We start from the raw sequence: 14,713 nt of genomic DNA on the forward strand, positions 1-14,713 counted from the left end.
ACTGGGGAGGCTGAGGCAGGAGAATCGCTTGAACCTGGGAGGCGGAAATTGTAGTGAGCCAAGACCGTACCATTGCACTTCAGCCTGGGTGACAGAGACTCCATCTCAAAAAAAAAAAAAAAAAAAAAGAAGCAGCAGCTGTAGACAATACCAAATGAATGAACGTGACTGTGTTCCAACAAAACTTTATTTACAAAAACAGGGATGGGCCGGATGTAGCCAGAGGCCATAATTTGCCAACCCCTGATTTAGACGAAGGAAAGGAGCAGTGCTTCACTGCTTTTAAATTAATTCTGTATTCTCACAAGGCCTACATTGAAATGGAATTATAGCCTCATTTTTTCTTAGAACCTTTATATTTTGTTTTATTCATATACAGGGTTGTCAAGCTGGACAGACTATTAAAGTTCAAGTCTCCTTTGATTTGCTTAGTCTGATGTTTACATTTGTAAGTGATAGGACTTATTAAGTTTCTTATAAACGTTGCTTATATTTTGCTGTTGCTTAAATACTAATGGTACTTTGAATTCAAATCTAGTAAAACCAAAGTAAAAATCAGCTTTGGCTATCATTTAACTTCTCTGATCCTGTTTTTAAAGCTATAAAAAAAAAAGAAATTATTCTTGATGAATTCCATAGTTCTTTGCAATTCTAATATAATTTGATTGTATGGTCTATTAAAGGAAATTCAGATTTTTATTAGAAAAAAAGTGTGTGGCTCTTTCCATAACTGTACTCTTAATTTTTATAAATTGGCCACCTAAAAGGGAACATTTTTTTGCTTCATACAATTTACATTCCTTCCTACTCAGATGAATCTGACTTGCAAACATGTGTGAAGATGGCTTATTGACTATGAGGAAGGGGCTGGTGTCACCCAGCAAGAGCTTACTAACCTAAATCTTGAGGAAATTACTCTAATTTTTATTGTAAATTCCCTGCAGAAATTCTGAAGCCTTTATTTGAGGAGCCTGTTAGTTGGACTAGGAAAGATGGTTTGTATGTATGTGTTTTTTCAATTAGCAAATTGATTTAGAGTGCTTTAGAATTGACCCTTTCTTCCATGGTATTTGCCTAAAACAGCTCCATTAGACTTGGAAGGATACGCATCATATTGGTGTTTCCACTTTTCTGTTTCAAATGCTGTGGTTTCTTTGTTTTTTCGTTTTTGAGATGGAGTCTCCCTCTGTCACCAAGGCTGGAGTGCAGTGGCCCGATCTCAGCTCACTGCAACCTCCGCCTCCCAGGTTCAAGCAATTCTCCTGCCTCAGCCTCCCAAGTAGCTGGGATTACAAGTGTGCACCACCACGCCCAGCTAATTTTTTATTTTTTTTTTTGTAATTTTAGTAGAGACAAGGTTTCACCAGTGTTGGCCAGGCTGGTCTCAGACTCCTGATCTCAAGTGATCTGCCCTCCTCAGCCTCCCAAAATGCTGGGATTACAGATGTGAGCCATCGTAATGTGGCCTCAATTTCTGTGCTTTCTAGGAGCTTATAAGTCATAATTACTTTGACTAAGTAAAACAAGTTTTTCTATTTATGACAAAAAGGAAGGTATGCCACACACAAAGTACACTGTGTGTGATCCCTTTTCCATATTCATCACCAGATGGGTTTTCCCCTTCTGCTTCCTTCACCATGCCCATCCTAGTTACTGCTTATGACATTTTAATTTTTTGGTTGAGCTCATTCTTTTCCAAGAAAAAGAATAGATTTCCAGCTCCATCTTTTTTTTTTTTTTTTTTTTTTTTTTTTTTTGAGACAAATCTCGCTTTGTCGCCCAGGCTGGAGTGCAGTGGCGCGATCTCGGCTCACTGCAAGCTCCGCCCCCTGGGTTCACGCCATTCTTCTGCCTCAGCCTCCCAAGTAGCTGGGAATACAGATGCCTGCCACTACGCCCGGCTAATTTTTTGTATATTTAGTAGAGACAGGATTTCACTGTGTTAGTCAGGATGGTCTCGATCTCCTGACCTCGTGATCCACCCGCCTCGGCCTCCCAAAGTGCTGGGATTACAGGCGTGAGCCACGCGCCCGGCACAGCTCCATCTTTTTTACTTACCTCTTTATTGGTGGGCTGGTAATATTGATGATTTGACGCTCTTTTATGTATGATTGAAAGTGAATTAGGTTAAATCATAGTTTAACCTAAATAACATCTGTTAGAAATCACCATTTCTACCTGGTAATAGAATGCAAAAAAAGCAGTAAGTTCAAGTTGAGTCTTTTCAGCTTATTGTGGCATCAGGTTAGCTTTGAGCTGTTTTGGAGCTAAAGAGAGAGAGAAATCCTTTGATCTCTTTGAGAAAGGGCAGGAAATCAAATCTGCTTCAAAAGCAGAATTTGAAAATAACCTGTAAGAGAAATCTCAATATGAGGAAAAACTAATATAAATTCTGAATGAGAAAAGGAAAAAGATTAGATAAAATTTACCTGTGTCCTAGGTGACAAAGCTATGACTTTGTTTTGGGAAAACAAAGCTATTTTACTTTTCAAGTTTTCATGCTGACTGAATAGAACAATAGTGATAAATCCAAAGTAACAGATGCTCTAAAACCCGTTTTTTGGCATTGGAATTTTTGTACCTTTTGTTAATTATAAGTGGGTCTGATATTCTGAATGTTAATTTTAAATAATGAAGCTGCTTAGTAAAGTGCTGATTTTTGTTATCATCTCATCCTAACCCCAGTTCACCTTGTCCTTGCTGCTTATTCTGAACCAAAATATTATACAGCCCTCTGAGATTTTATGTCCACGGGTGGGTCCATGGGGCTTAGAGCTAAGAGTTGATGATGATTTGGAGGAACCAACAGTAATTTTATTATAACCTCAGTTTTGTGTATATGTAATCATATGTGTCTAAATATACATGCAGAATACCAAAGAAAAGACTAGATGCAAGTACAGCAAAATAGCAAGACATGTTACCTCTGCTTAGTGGTAATGCAGGAATATATTTCTATAGACTTTTCTGTATTTCCTGAAATTTCTACAATGACCATATAAAGCTTTAATATTAGAAGACTTTTTTTAAGTGACCGTAAGTGTGAAATTTCAGTAAAACAATTGTTTAATCATAGGCATGACTGCAAGTTGACTAAATAAAAGCATACTATTTACTGAAAGTGGGAGGAATCCTTAATAGTGCACGTAGTAGTTTTCATAGTTCACGTACGTCGCAACATTCATTCCTCCATTTTAATAAAGGAAGAGGAAACTGACCCTCAGAGAAGTTAACTAACTTTTGCTTTCCATGATCCACATCAGTTAGAAGGAAGACTGTTGCAGGGAGCAGGCTGAGAAGGGCACTTACAGAAGAGAGCCAACCTGGATTAACACCTGGGTATGGGCAACTCTCTAACCGCTGGTTTGGTTTGGAGTTGACTCTATGGGTATGGAAAGGTTGCACCAGGCCGGGCGCAGTGGCTCACACCTGTAATCCTAGCACTTTGGGAGGCTGAGACTGGCGGATCACCTGAGGTCAGGAGTTCGAGACCAGCCTGGCCAACGTGGTGAAACCCCATCTCTACTAAAAATACGAAATTGGCCGGGCATGGTGGTGCACACTTGTAATCCCAGCTACTCGGGAGACTGAGGCAGGAGAACTGCTTGAACCTGGGACGGGGAGGTTGCAGTGAGCCAAGATCATGCCATTGCACTCTAGCCTGGGTGACAGAACGAGACTCTGTTAAAAAAAAAAAAAAAAAAAAGTTGCACCAGAGCCATCGGAGCCTAGGGGCAGCCAGGGTCCTCCAGATCTAGGCAATTTGTTGGGTCCTGGCACTACACTGTAAGTGGAATGTCAACGGATAGGGTCCAAAAAGAGACTTCAGTTAAAACAGTAGAAAACGGAAGAACGTCCTCACCTATTTGTTTTTGCCCTCACCCATGAATTTCTCCAGACTGGAAAGTTCAAGGCATAGGAAAATTGTTTTTAGAAATCCACACGGACATTCGAGCGTATACTGAGTATTCATTATGTGTGAACATTAACAAAGTTATTTTCATCTTAATTACGAATCTGCACCAGTGATGACTGACTCTGCGTCTCTCCTATTCAGATTGTGTCTGCAGTTCAATACTGCCATCAGAAACGGATCGTACATCGAGACCTCAAGGTGAGTAGAAGTGCCTCACTCAGTGTATGCTCTGTCTGTTTGTGTGCAGTTCTCTCAGTGGTCATTACACAAATGAGGTATAGATTAGCCTTATTAGCATTTTTTAAAATCCCACAATAATTGAATCCTCTTAATCAAGTTATGGGAAAGAGCATTAAAAATAAAGAAAAATAAAGGTTATTGAAAGTATTTTACATTTCAGTTACGGTGACTGGTGGTTGATCTCTGGAGAACAGTCATCACACAGCCAAACAAATGTGGGCCTCCAGAAATGTATGGTCACGCCCACAGCATCCTCAGTGCCACCCGGCATTCATTTCTGCTGCTTTCATCAGTATTCTCTCCCGTTAACAGCAGTGCCTGTTTGAGACCTCTTTCAAGGTCCTCAGCCTCTGCCCTCACTCTGGCATAGGATGAGGTTTCGTATCGCACAGAGAAAATAGAAACACCATGCAGAAACTCTCATTTTCTACCAGGCCCTCAAACCTAGCAGCACCTACCCCCATCCATCACTTCTTTCCTCCTGTTACAGGAAAGTGGGGTGCTTCTGCTCTGAGCTCTGGGTCCTGATTCCCTCTGGGGGCTGTGCTCTGTCTGATGCCTCTTTTCTCTCCGTTTGTTTATTCACTCTCCTTCTCTACTGGCTTTTCACCAGCAGCATTTACACATGCTCAAGTCTATATACCTTTTTTTTTTTTTAACTAAAAAGCCATGCCTGTTCCTCTTTCAGATACACGCTTTTTCTCTCTTCCCTTTCATAGCCATATTTCTCTAAACATTTCCTAGATTCTGTGTCTTAACTTGGCACTCACTTTCACTCTCCCCTTACGTAATTGCCATTGACTTGCTTGTTCTCTGCACCCGCCCCTAGAGCATTCACATTCACTCTCTCAACTGCAGTGGCCAACTGTATGCTGATGGCCCCAAATCCATTCCTACGGCCAGAGCACTCTTCTGGGATCCAGGACCCAGCTGAGCAAAGGGTGTCTTCATATAAGCATCCCTTGGGTGCAGCAGGTTCAAATCCTATAAACATGAATGTTCACTTCTCATTCAGGTGTCTGATGTCCCTCAAGTACCTTACTCTCCTGTGCTACCCACTCAGTCACCAGGTCCTTTTGCTGCTGTGTTCCAAGTATCTCTTAAGCTCACTCTTTTATGTCCCTGTTACACTATCCAAGGCCAGACCACCATTATCTCATAGGTGATTCCGACACTACTTTCTTATATGTTCTTCTCTGTTTCTAGTGCCTCTTCCTCCCATGTATGTTTTCTACACTGCACCCAAAATGGTCTTTTAAGGAAACACAAATAAGATGGTCATTTCTCTGCTTGAACAACTCTTCATTGGCTTCCCATTGCTCTTACGATGAAAACCCAAACTTCTCAAGTACAATCCTTTGTGATTAAGCCCTGACCATCTCCCCAGCCCCCTCTACACATCTCTATCTCACATACTGTCTTTCAATTTCTTGTGTGAAACATACTGTGTCTCACATGGGTTCTCAGACTCTTTATTCTGCCTGAAATACCCCTCATCAACACATCCATTATGATCAGATGCACCTTCTGGTGCTTTGATTTCACTTCATCTGGGAAGCCATTCACACCTTTCAGTGCCAACCCACAACTCCCTGTGCCTCTTCAGTTATGGCATTTTGTCTCAGGACAGCTGCTTATCATTCTCCTTCTTCCCTTCTAAACTGTGAGCTACTGAGGGTAGGGCTTTATCTGTCTTGTTCATCATTATCCATCCAGACACTAATATAGCATCTGCTGTGGAGTAGCCACATAGGAAATGTTTCTTAAAGTGACTGTGATTTGTCTCTTTTTTTTTTTTTTTTTTTTTTTTTTTGAGACGGAGTCTCACTTTGTTGCCCTGGCTAGAGTGCAGTGGTGCGATCTCTGCTCACTGCAACCTCCACCTCGCAGGTTCAAGCGATTCTCCTGCCTCAGCCTCTCAAGTAGCTGGGATTACAGGCGCCCACCACCATGCCCAGCTAATTTTTTGTATTTTTAGTAGAGATGGGGCTTCACCATGTTGGCCAGACTGGTCTCGAACTCCTGACCTCAGGTGATCCACCCGCCTCAGCCTCCCAAAGTGCTGTGATTACAGGCGTGAGCCACCGCACCCAGCCATGATTTGACTCTTGAATGAGGTTTAGGATTCTCCCCTCCTCATTAACAGCCGTTTTATAGCTATTTAGCCGTTTTTATGAAATGCCCCTTTTTAAAAAAAGTTATTTATGTTTTGAGACAGGGTTTTACTCTGTCACCCAGGCTGGAGTGCAGTGGCACAGTCATAGCTCACTGCAGCCTCAAACTCCCAGGCTTAAGAGGTCCTCCTACCTCAGCCTTCCAAGTAGCTGGGATTGCAGATGTGTGCCACCATACCCAGCTAATTTTTAAAAATCTTTTGTAGAGAAAGGGTCTCACTATGTTGCCCAAGCTGGTCTTGAACTCCTGGGCTCAAGTGAGCCACTGTACCTGGCCCTGCCCCATATTATTCTTGTTTTTTGGTTTTGAGATGGAGTATTGCTCTGTCGCCCAGGCTGGAGTGCAGTGGCACGATCTTGGCTCACTGCAACCTCTGCCTCCCGAGTTCAAGCAATTCTCCTGCCTCAGCCTCCTGAGTAGCTGGGATTACAGGTGTGTACCACCACACCCAGCTGATTTTTGTATTTTTAGTAAAGACAGGGTATCACCATGTTGGCCAGGCTGGTCTTGAACTCCTGGCCTCAGATGATTCGTCCACCTCGGCCTCCCAAAGTGCTGGGATCATAGGTGTGAGCCACCGTGCCCAGCCCCCATATTATTATTATCAATTGAAAAACTCAAGGCTTTTCTTGATCTTGGGACATTGATGTTTAAATTAGTGCTAGAATTAATCTGTACTTCATGTTTGTTATTGTTAATATTATAAAATAAGGAGTTCTGACTTGTCTCCTGTTTTTTTCTCTAGAAAGAATGTTTTCACATTAATTAGGAGGTAACTTCATATCATTACAGAAAGCTTTTCTAAAATGCCTAATCCTGTCATAATTCTAATTCTATTTTGGCTAAATTTCATTTTTGTCTTGATGTTTTCCCTCTAGGCTGAAAATCTATTGTTAGATGCCGATATGAACATTAAAATAGCAGATTTCGGTTTTAGCAATGAATTTACTGTTGGCGGTAAACTCGACACGTTTTGTGGCAGTCCTCCATACGCAGCACCTGAGCTCTTCCAGGGCAAGAAATATGACGGGCCAGAAGTGGATGTGTGGAGTCTGGGGGTCATTTTATACACACTAGTCAGTGGCTCACTTCCCTTTGATGGGCAAAACCTAAAGGTATAAGAAGCTGCACCCATGTACTTCACTAAACTAAAAGAAGTTTCCTAATATTACATGGCTTAATATTTTTAACATTATATCAGTGCGGGGGGTTTCAGGGGGTTTTTTGTTGTGTTTTGTTAACTAAACCTAAAGGTTGACTTACTCGTTTTCTTTCCTCTGTACCTCTCCAAAGGAACTGAGAGAGAGAGTATTAAGAGGGAAATACAGAATTCCCTTCTACATGTCTACAGACTGTGAAAACCTTCTCAAACGTTTCCTGGTGCTAAATCCAATTAAACGCGGCACTCTAGAGGTAATCATGTAGGTGGAAACAAGCAGTAACTTTGGAGAGTCTTTAGAGTGACCTTAGATCTTTGCTTGATTTGTATGCCATACTGGATATATCCTGCGGCTTTTTAAGCAAGAATTGAAACATTAAAAAATATTTTTTGAGTTTATGCTTTGAACGATAGTCAATGAAATGTTGAAAATAAATTTTTGTAAATATTACGGTTATCAGAATATTTCATTTTACTCTGCTAATGAACAGTTTACCTTTTTTAGCAAATCATGAAGGACAGGTGGATCAATGCAGGGCATGAAGAAGATGAACTCAAACCATTTGTTGAACCAGAGCTAGACATCTCAGACCAAAAAAGAATAGGTAATCACTCCATGCCTGCATGTTCATGTGTTTTTGTCTAAGTAACATATTTCTGTTTTGACTCATGTCTGTGCCTAAAATGTGAATAATGGAAAGTTAAGCACAAGTCATATGAACAGTTTATCTGTTCTGTCATATTTAGGAACGTAACTACCTGCAGTTTCCTATAATGGCACCCAGTAACTCTGAAACAAGTGCCCATTTATGTTACAAAATATATGTAATATGTCATCTTTTAGGTCAAATGAAAATTATTTTACCCTACAAAAGAATGATTTCTGGCCGGGCGTGGTGGCTCACGCCTGTAATCCCAGCACTTTGGGAGGCCAAGGCGGGCAGATCACCTGAGGTCGGGAGGTCGAGGCCAGCCTGACCAACATGGAGAAACCCCATCTCTACTAAAACTACAAAATTAGCCAGGCACGGTGGCTCATGCCTGTAATCCCAGCTACTCGGGAGGCTGAGGCAGGAGAATTGCTTGAATCTGGGAGGTGGAGGTTGCGGTGAGCCAAGATCGCGCCATTGCACTCCAGCCTGGGCAACAAGAGTGAAACTCCGTCTCAAAAAAAAAAAAAAAAAAAAGGATGATTTCTTACCCAAACAAAACACATAAACTGTATTATGCCCTTCTTTTAGATATTATGGTGGGAATGGGATATTCACAAGAAGAAATTCAAGAATCTCTTAGTAAGATGAAATACGATGAAATCACAGCTACATATTTGTTATTGGGGAGAAAATCTTCAGAGGTAAGAGTAATCAGAAAGAGCTGAAATACCCTGTATGTAATTATTAGTTTATATAAACTGTTTTCTTAGTTTTTATCTTTTGAATATTTGTAACATTTGATACATCATTTTTTAGATTTACTTGCAAATAGCAAATCTAAATCCTATGACTATTATAAGCTATTTTAACTTAACCCTTAATGATGGATATTGGCCAGGCGTGGTGGCTCATGCCTGTAATCCCAGCACTTTGGGAGGCCAAGGCGGACAGATCACTTGAGACCAGGAGTTCGAGACCAGACTGGCCAACATAGGGAAACTCTGTCTCTGCTAAAACAAACAAACAAACAAAAAATTAGCTGGGCGTGTTGGCGCTTGCCTGTAATCCCTGCTCCTTGGGAGGCTGAGGCAAGAGAACTGCTTGACCCTGAGAGGCAGAGGTTGCGGTGAGCCAGGATCACGCCACTGCACTCCAGCCTGGGTGACAGAGCGAGACTCTGTCTCAAAAAAAAAAAAAAAAAAAAAAAGATGGATGTTGTCATAAACCTGGTCTTTCATAAATTAACCTGTAGTCATTAATAGCTTAGAAATGACGTAAAGCATCAGATGAAGTAAATACAACATTTAAAGTTATTTGAGAAAGCCTGGAAAGAAAATCATAAATACCTTACCTTTAGTGTCTTTCCAGCCGTCAGAAAACTACTTTTGCTTGAGTTTAGGGTTGTCATTTTTGTACGTTGTGATTCCTCCTCTCTCTGAATGAACGGTTTATGAGAGGTCTGTGTTAATGAAAAGTTTAACTTCCTAATAAGCCATTTGGGTTCGTGTTGTGGTTTGCTCTGTTTTTCTCATTTTCTCTTAGCTGGATGCTAGTGATTCCAGTTCTAGCAGCAATCTTTCACTTGCTAAGGTTAGGCCGAGCAGTGATCTCAACAACAGTACTGGCCAGTCTCCTCACCACAAAGTGCAGAGAAGTGTTTCTTCAAGCCAAAAGCAAAGACGCTACAGTGACCATGGTAAGTTTTGGAGTATCCCAGTGCCTTCTCTTAGAGTCCAGGCAAGAGGTCTCCTAGCACTGGGAAGCATTCTCTTGCTCAGAGCCTGGCTTGATGTCCTTTCTTGGCATTGCTTTCTTTCTTTCTTCTTTTTTTTTTTTTTTTTTTTTTTTTTTTGAGACAGAGTCTCACTCTGTTGCCCAGGCTGGAGTGGAGTGGCACAATTTTGGCTCACTGCAACCTCCACCTCCCAGGTTCAAGCGATTCTCCTGCCTCAGCCTCCTGAATAGCTGGGACTACAGGTGTGTACCACCATGCCTGGCTAAGTTTTGTATTTTTAGTAGAGACGGGGTTTCACCACATTTGGCCAGGCTGGTCTTCAGCTCCTGGCCTTAAGTGATCCACCTGCCTTGGCCTCCCAGAGCGCTGGAATTACAGGCATGAGCCACCGTGCCTGGCCAGCATTTTTTCTTAGTGTTCCTGCAGGTGCTGCCATGATTACATATTACTTCAAGGCTCTTATCTTCTTTATACATGCAGTAGATTTTTGCTGGATAAAGCTTAGTTGAGTGGAAACCTTACCATTTGCCCTTCTAGAACCTCTGCTTTAATCTGTAGTTTTCCTTTTTTTTTTTTTTTTTAAATGGAGATGGGGGTCTCGCTATGTTGCCCAAGCTGGTCTCAAACTCCCAAGTTCAAACTATTCTCTCACCACAGCGTTCTAAAGTGCTAGGATTACAGACGTGAGCCACCATGCCCAGCGCTAGAACTGGGCGCTGTACCGAACTGAATAGAACTGCTAGTCTGTAGTTCTATTCACTCTCTTCACCTCTGCATTGGATTTACTTTGTAGAGTAGCACTGTCCAGTAGAACTTTCTGAGATGATTACAGTTTTGTGTATCTGTGCTGTCCAGTCAAGAAGCTACTGGCCACTTGTGGCTATCAAGTACTTGAACTGAGGAAATGATTTTTACCTTTTTTATTTCTATTTATTTTTTATTATTTTTATTTATTTATTTATTTATTTATTTTTCAGATGGAATCTGGCTCTGTCGCCCAGGCTGGAATGCAGTGGCATGATCTTGGCTCACTGCAACCTCCACCTCCCAGGTCCCAGCAGTTCTCCTGCCTCAGCCTCCTGAGTAGCTGGGATTACAGGCATGCACAACCACACCCGGCTAATTTTTGTATTTTTAATAGAGACAGGGTTTCACCATATTGGCTAGGCTGGTCTTGAACTTGGGAGCTCAAGCAATCCACTCACCTTGGCCTCCAAAAGTGATGGGATTACAGGTGTGAGCCACCGCGCCTGGCCTTATTTATTTGTTTATTTTTTGAGATGGAATTTTGCTCTTGTTACCCAGGCTGGAGTGCAATGGCATGATCTCCGCTCACTGCAACCTCAGCCTCCGAAGTAGCTGGGACTATAGGCACACACCACCACACCTGGCCAATATTGTATTTTTAGTAGAGACGGGATTTCACCATGTTGGCCAGGCTGGTCTAGAACTCCTGACCTCAGGTGATCCACCCACCTTGGCCTCCCAAAGTGCTGGATTACACGTGTGAGTCTGTAATTGGCCTGGCTGATTTTTACCCTTTTAAAATTTTCCTGGCCGGACATGGTGGCTCATGCCTGTAATTCCAGCACCTTGGGAGGCCGAGGCGTGTGGATCACTAGGTCAGGAGTTCGAGACTAGCCTGACCAACGTGGTGAAACCCCATCTCTACTAAAAATAAAAAAATTACCTGGGCATGGTGGTGTGTGCCTGTAATTCCAGCTACTCAGGAGGCTGAGGTAGGAGAATCGCTTGAACCTGGGAGGCAGAGGTTGCAGTGAGCCAAGATCGTGTGACTGCACTCCAGCCTAGTGACAGAGTGAGAGTCCATCTCAAAAAAAAAAAAAAAAATTTGTACTTAAGTGTAATATATAGCCAGTTGTGGCCAGTAACTCTCATAATAGACAGGACAGCCCTGGAGAATATATGGAACCTCAGTTTTGCCTTAATTGGTTTAAATGTTGTACTGTGTCATTCTCATCCATACTCTTGCTGTTAGTGTGGTTAAGCCACTCTCCCTTTTAAACTTCACCTAGAAGCCAGTCCTTTATGAGACATAAGACTCCCAGTGGGTAGGCTTACCAGGCTCTACAGTTGCTCTGCCTTCAAGGCAGCCTGTGTGTCAGAGTCCTGAGGCTAGCGTGTGTGTTTACTTGCCCATAACTATAAATGTTAACATTGCAGATATTTCCTTTAATTCTACTATTCCAGGATTCAGGAACTAAATCTATTTTTTTTTTTTTTTTTGAGATGGAGTTTCACTCTTGTCACCCAGGCTGGAGTGCAATAGCGCGATCTCGGCTCACTGCAACCTCCGCCTCCTGGGTTCTAGCAATTCTCCTGCCTCAGCCTCCCGAGTAGCTGGGACTACAGGCATGCATCACCATGCCCAGCTAATTTTTTTATTTTTAGTAGAGACGGGGTTTCACCACATTTGGCCAGGCTGGTCCCGAACTCCTGAACTCAGGTGATCCATCCACCTCAGCCTCCCAAAGTGCTCGGATTACAGGCATGAGTCACTGCGCTCGGCCTCATTTTATTTCTCTTCTCTGGACATTTTCCATCTTAATACTTTCATCTTGAGATTTGACACTTAGGACTGCACAGGGCATTTTAGGTGTGGACAGCTTTGATTTTGTACTAAAAATGATTACACTTGGCTTGATTTCCATTTCTCTTCCTTCTGTTGCTTGCCTTTCTACATGGTTTAGACTGAAGCAACAGTGTACTAATATCACTAGTAAACCATCTACAGTGCCTGCTATTCTAGGGTGTAACTGAGAGCTCAGAACTCATTCTCACATCAGGATTTGTGCTCCTAGCATTTGTAGGTGACGTGTTGATCTAGGTCTGCCTTTTTTGTGTTCATGTTAGTCACTAACAAGGGGGGTTTCTAGTGCTTATGGACCACATGGCAATTAAATGCCCATATATTGCCCTGAAACCATCTGGTTTAACTTGTCCCTCAATCCTAGAAGAAACCTGACAATGGGATTTTCACATTTCTCTAAGGAATATGTTAGTAAGTTATTCCTTAAGCACATAGATTCCATCCAGATTATTAGTGCCTTTTTCCCCCCAGCTCAATTTTAGAGATAAAAAGAGCTTTAGACATGGTATTGTACACTCACCAAACCTCTGTTTTATCCCTAAATAGACCAAGAGAGATTACCAAGTCTCCCAAGGTTACATAGTAAATGAGAAACACCTGGGGCAGAGCTCAGGCCTGCTGGTCCAAGCCCTGTGTTTTTTCTCCACTGAAGCACCTCATTGGAGTAGCTTTTTCATAATCCTCATCTTTCTTGGAATTTCTGAAGGCAGGCAAGCCTGTATAGCCGGGCTAACTTTCACCTCATCCTCCTGCCTCGTCTCACCTCTCCCTTCCCTTTTCCTTGCCTGTGGATGCTGACCTCTGCATGGGTGCCTGCTTCTCTAAAGCTACGATGTAATCTGTAGCTGTCCTTCCTCGTTTGAGACCCACATGTGAACACCCCATATGTGTGCACTTTTTCTGCGAATGGTGATCATCTGATTTTCAAGGGGTTAGCTTGTTTTTTAAAAAATGAAAAAAAAAATCACTGTTTACTAATCAATGAGTGGTATTGGGGCAATTTGGTAGTTCTCAGAAAAAAAATTAATTTGGATCAATTTCTCACATCTTATACAAGGATGAATTCTAATTGGAGTTAAGATACAAATATAGGGCTGGGCGCAGTGGCTCATGCCTGTAATCCCAGCACTTTGGGAGTCCGAGGCAGGTGGATCACGAGGTCAGGAGATCGAGACCATCCTGGCTAACATGGTGAAACCCTGTCTCTACTAAAAAATAGAAAAAATTAGCCAGGCGTGGTGGTGGGCACCTATAGTCCCAGCTACTCAGGAGGCTGAGGCAGGAGAATGGATGAACCCGGGAGGCGGAGCTTGCAGTGAGCCGAGATCGAGCCACTGCACTCCAGCCTGGGCGACAGAGCGAGACTCCGTCTCAAAAAAAAAAAAAAAAAAGATGTAAATAAAACTCCAGAAATATTGAAAGAAACCTTGGGATTATTTGCTTTGTAACTTGGACTGGTGAAGGTGTTTCTGTCACCCCAAACACCAAACCCATGAAATAAAAGACTTACAAATTTGATTACATAAAAATGAAATTTCTGGCCGGTCGCATAATCCCAGCACTTTGGGAGGCCGAGGTGGGCGGATCACGAGGTCAGGAGATCGAGAACATCCTGGCTAACACGGTGAAACCCTGTGTCTACTAAAAATACAAAAACAAAATCAGCTGAGCTTGGTGTCAAGTGCCTGTAGTCCTAGCTGCTCAGGAGGCTGAGGCAGGAGAATGGCGTGAACCTGGGAGGTGGAGCTTGCAGTGAGCCAAGATCATGCCACTGCACTCCAGCCTGGGCCAACAGAGCGAGGCTCCATCTCAAAAAAAAAAAAAAAAAAAATGAAATTTCTGTGTGACACATCCATACCATGGACTACTACTCACAATAAAAAGGAACAGGCTGGGCGCGGTGGCTCACGCCTGTAATCCCAACACTTTGAGAGGCCGAGGCAGGCAGATCACGAGGTCAAGAGATCGAGACCATCTGGCCAACATGGTGAAACCCCGTCTCTACTAAAATTACAAAAAATTAGCCGGGCATGGTGGCAGGCGCCTGTAGTCCCAGCTACTTGTGAGGCTGAGGCAGGAGAATCGCTTGAACCTGGGAGGTGGAGGTTGCAGTGAGCCAAGATTGAGCCACTGCACTCCACAGCCTGGCCACAGAGCGAGACTCCGTCTCGAAAAAAAAAAAAAGGAACAAACTATGATGTGCACAACTCAGATGGATCTCAAG

At 42.6% G+C, this 14,713-nt stretch overlaps 1 protein-coding gene across 38 annotated transcripts in view; it reads left to right on the forward strand.

Annotated features, from left to right (window-relative positions):
* Positions 1-14,713, forward strand: part of MARK3 (microtubule affinity regulating kinase 3) — a 118,417-nt gene that overhangs the window by 72,933 nt on the left and 30,771 nt on the right. For 22 of the 38 annotated variants that reach the window (NM_001128918.3, XM_005267641.6, NM_001128919.3 and 19 more), the window contains 6 exons: positions 4,058-4,114; positions 7,210-7,446; positions 7,625-7,744; positions 7,996-8,095; positions 8,732-8,844; positions 9,686-9,839. In NM_001128918.3, the coding sequence (NP_001122390.2) occupies positions 4,058-4,114; positions 7,210-7,446; positions 7,625-7,744; positions 7,996-8,095; positions 8,732-8,844; positions 9,686-9,839 (781 nt within the window). Of the gene's footprint in view, positions 1-384; positions 449-4,057; positions 4,115-7,209; positions 7,447-7,624; positions 7,745-7,995; positions 8,096-8,731; positions 8,845-9,685; positions 9,840-14,713 lie in introns of those variants that run through there. The other 16 variants (XM_005267642.6, XM_017021292.3, NM_001437367.1 and 13 more) reach the window with 4 other exon arrangements.

Source organism: Homo sapiens, chromosome 14 (assembly GCF_000001405.40).
Source record: "Homo sapiens chromosome 14, GRCh38.p14 Primary Assembly".
NCBI classification, from domain to species: domain Eukaryota; kingdom Metazoa; phylum Chordata; class Mammalia; order Primates; family Hominidae; genus Homo; species Homo sapiens.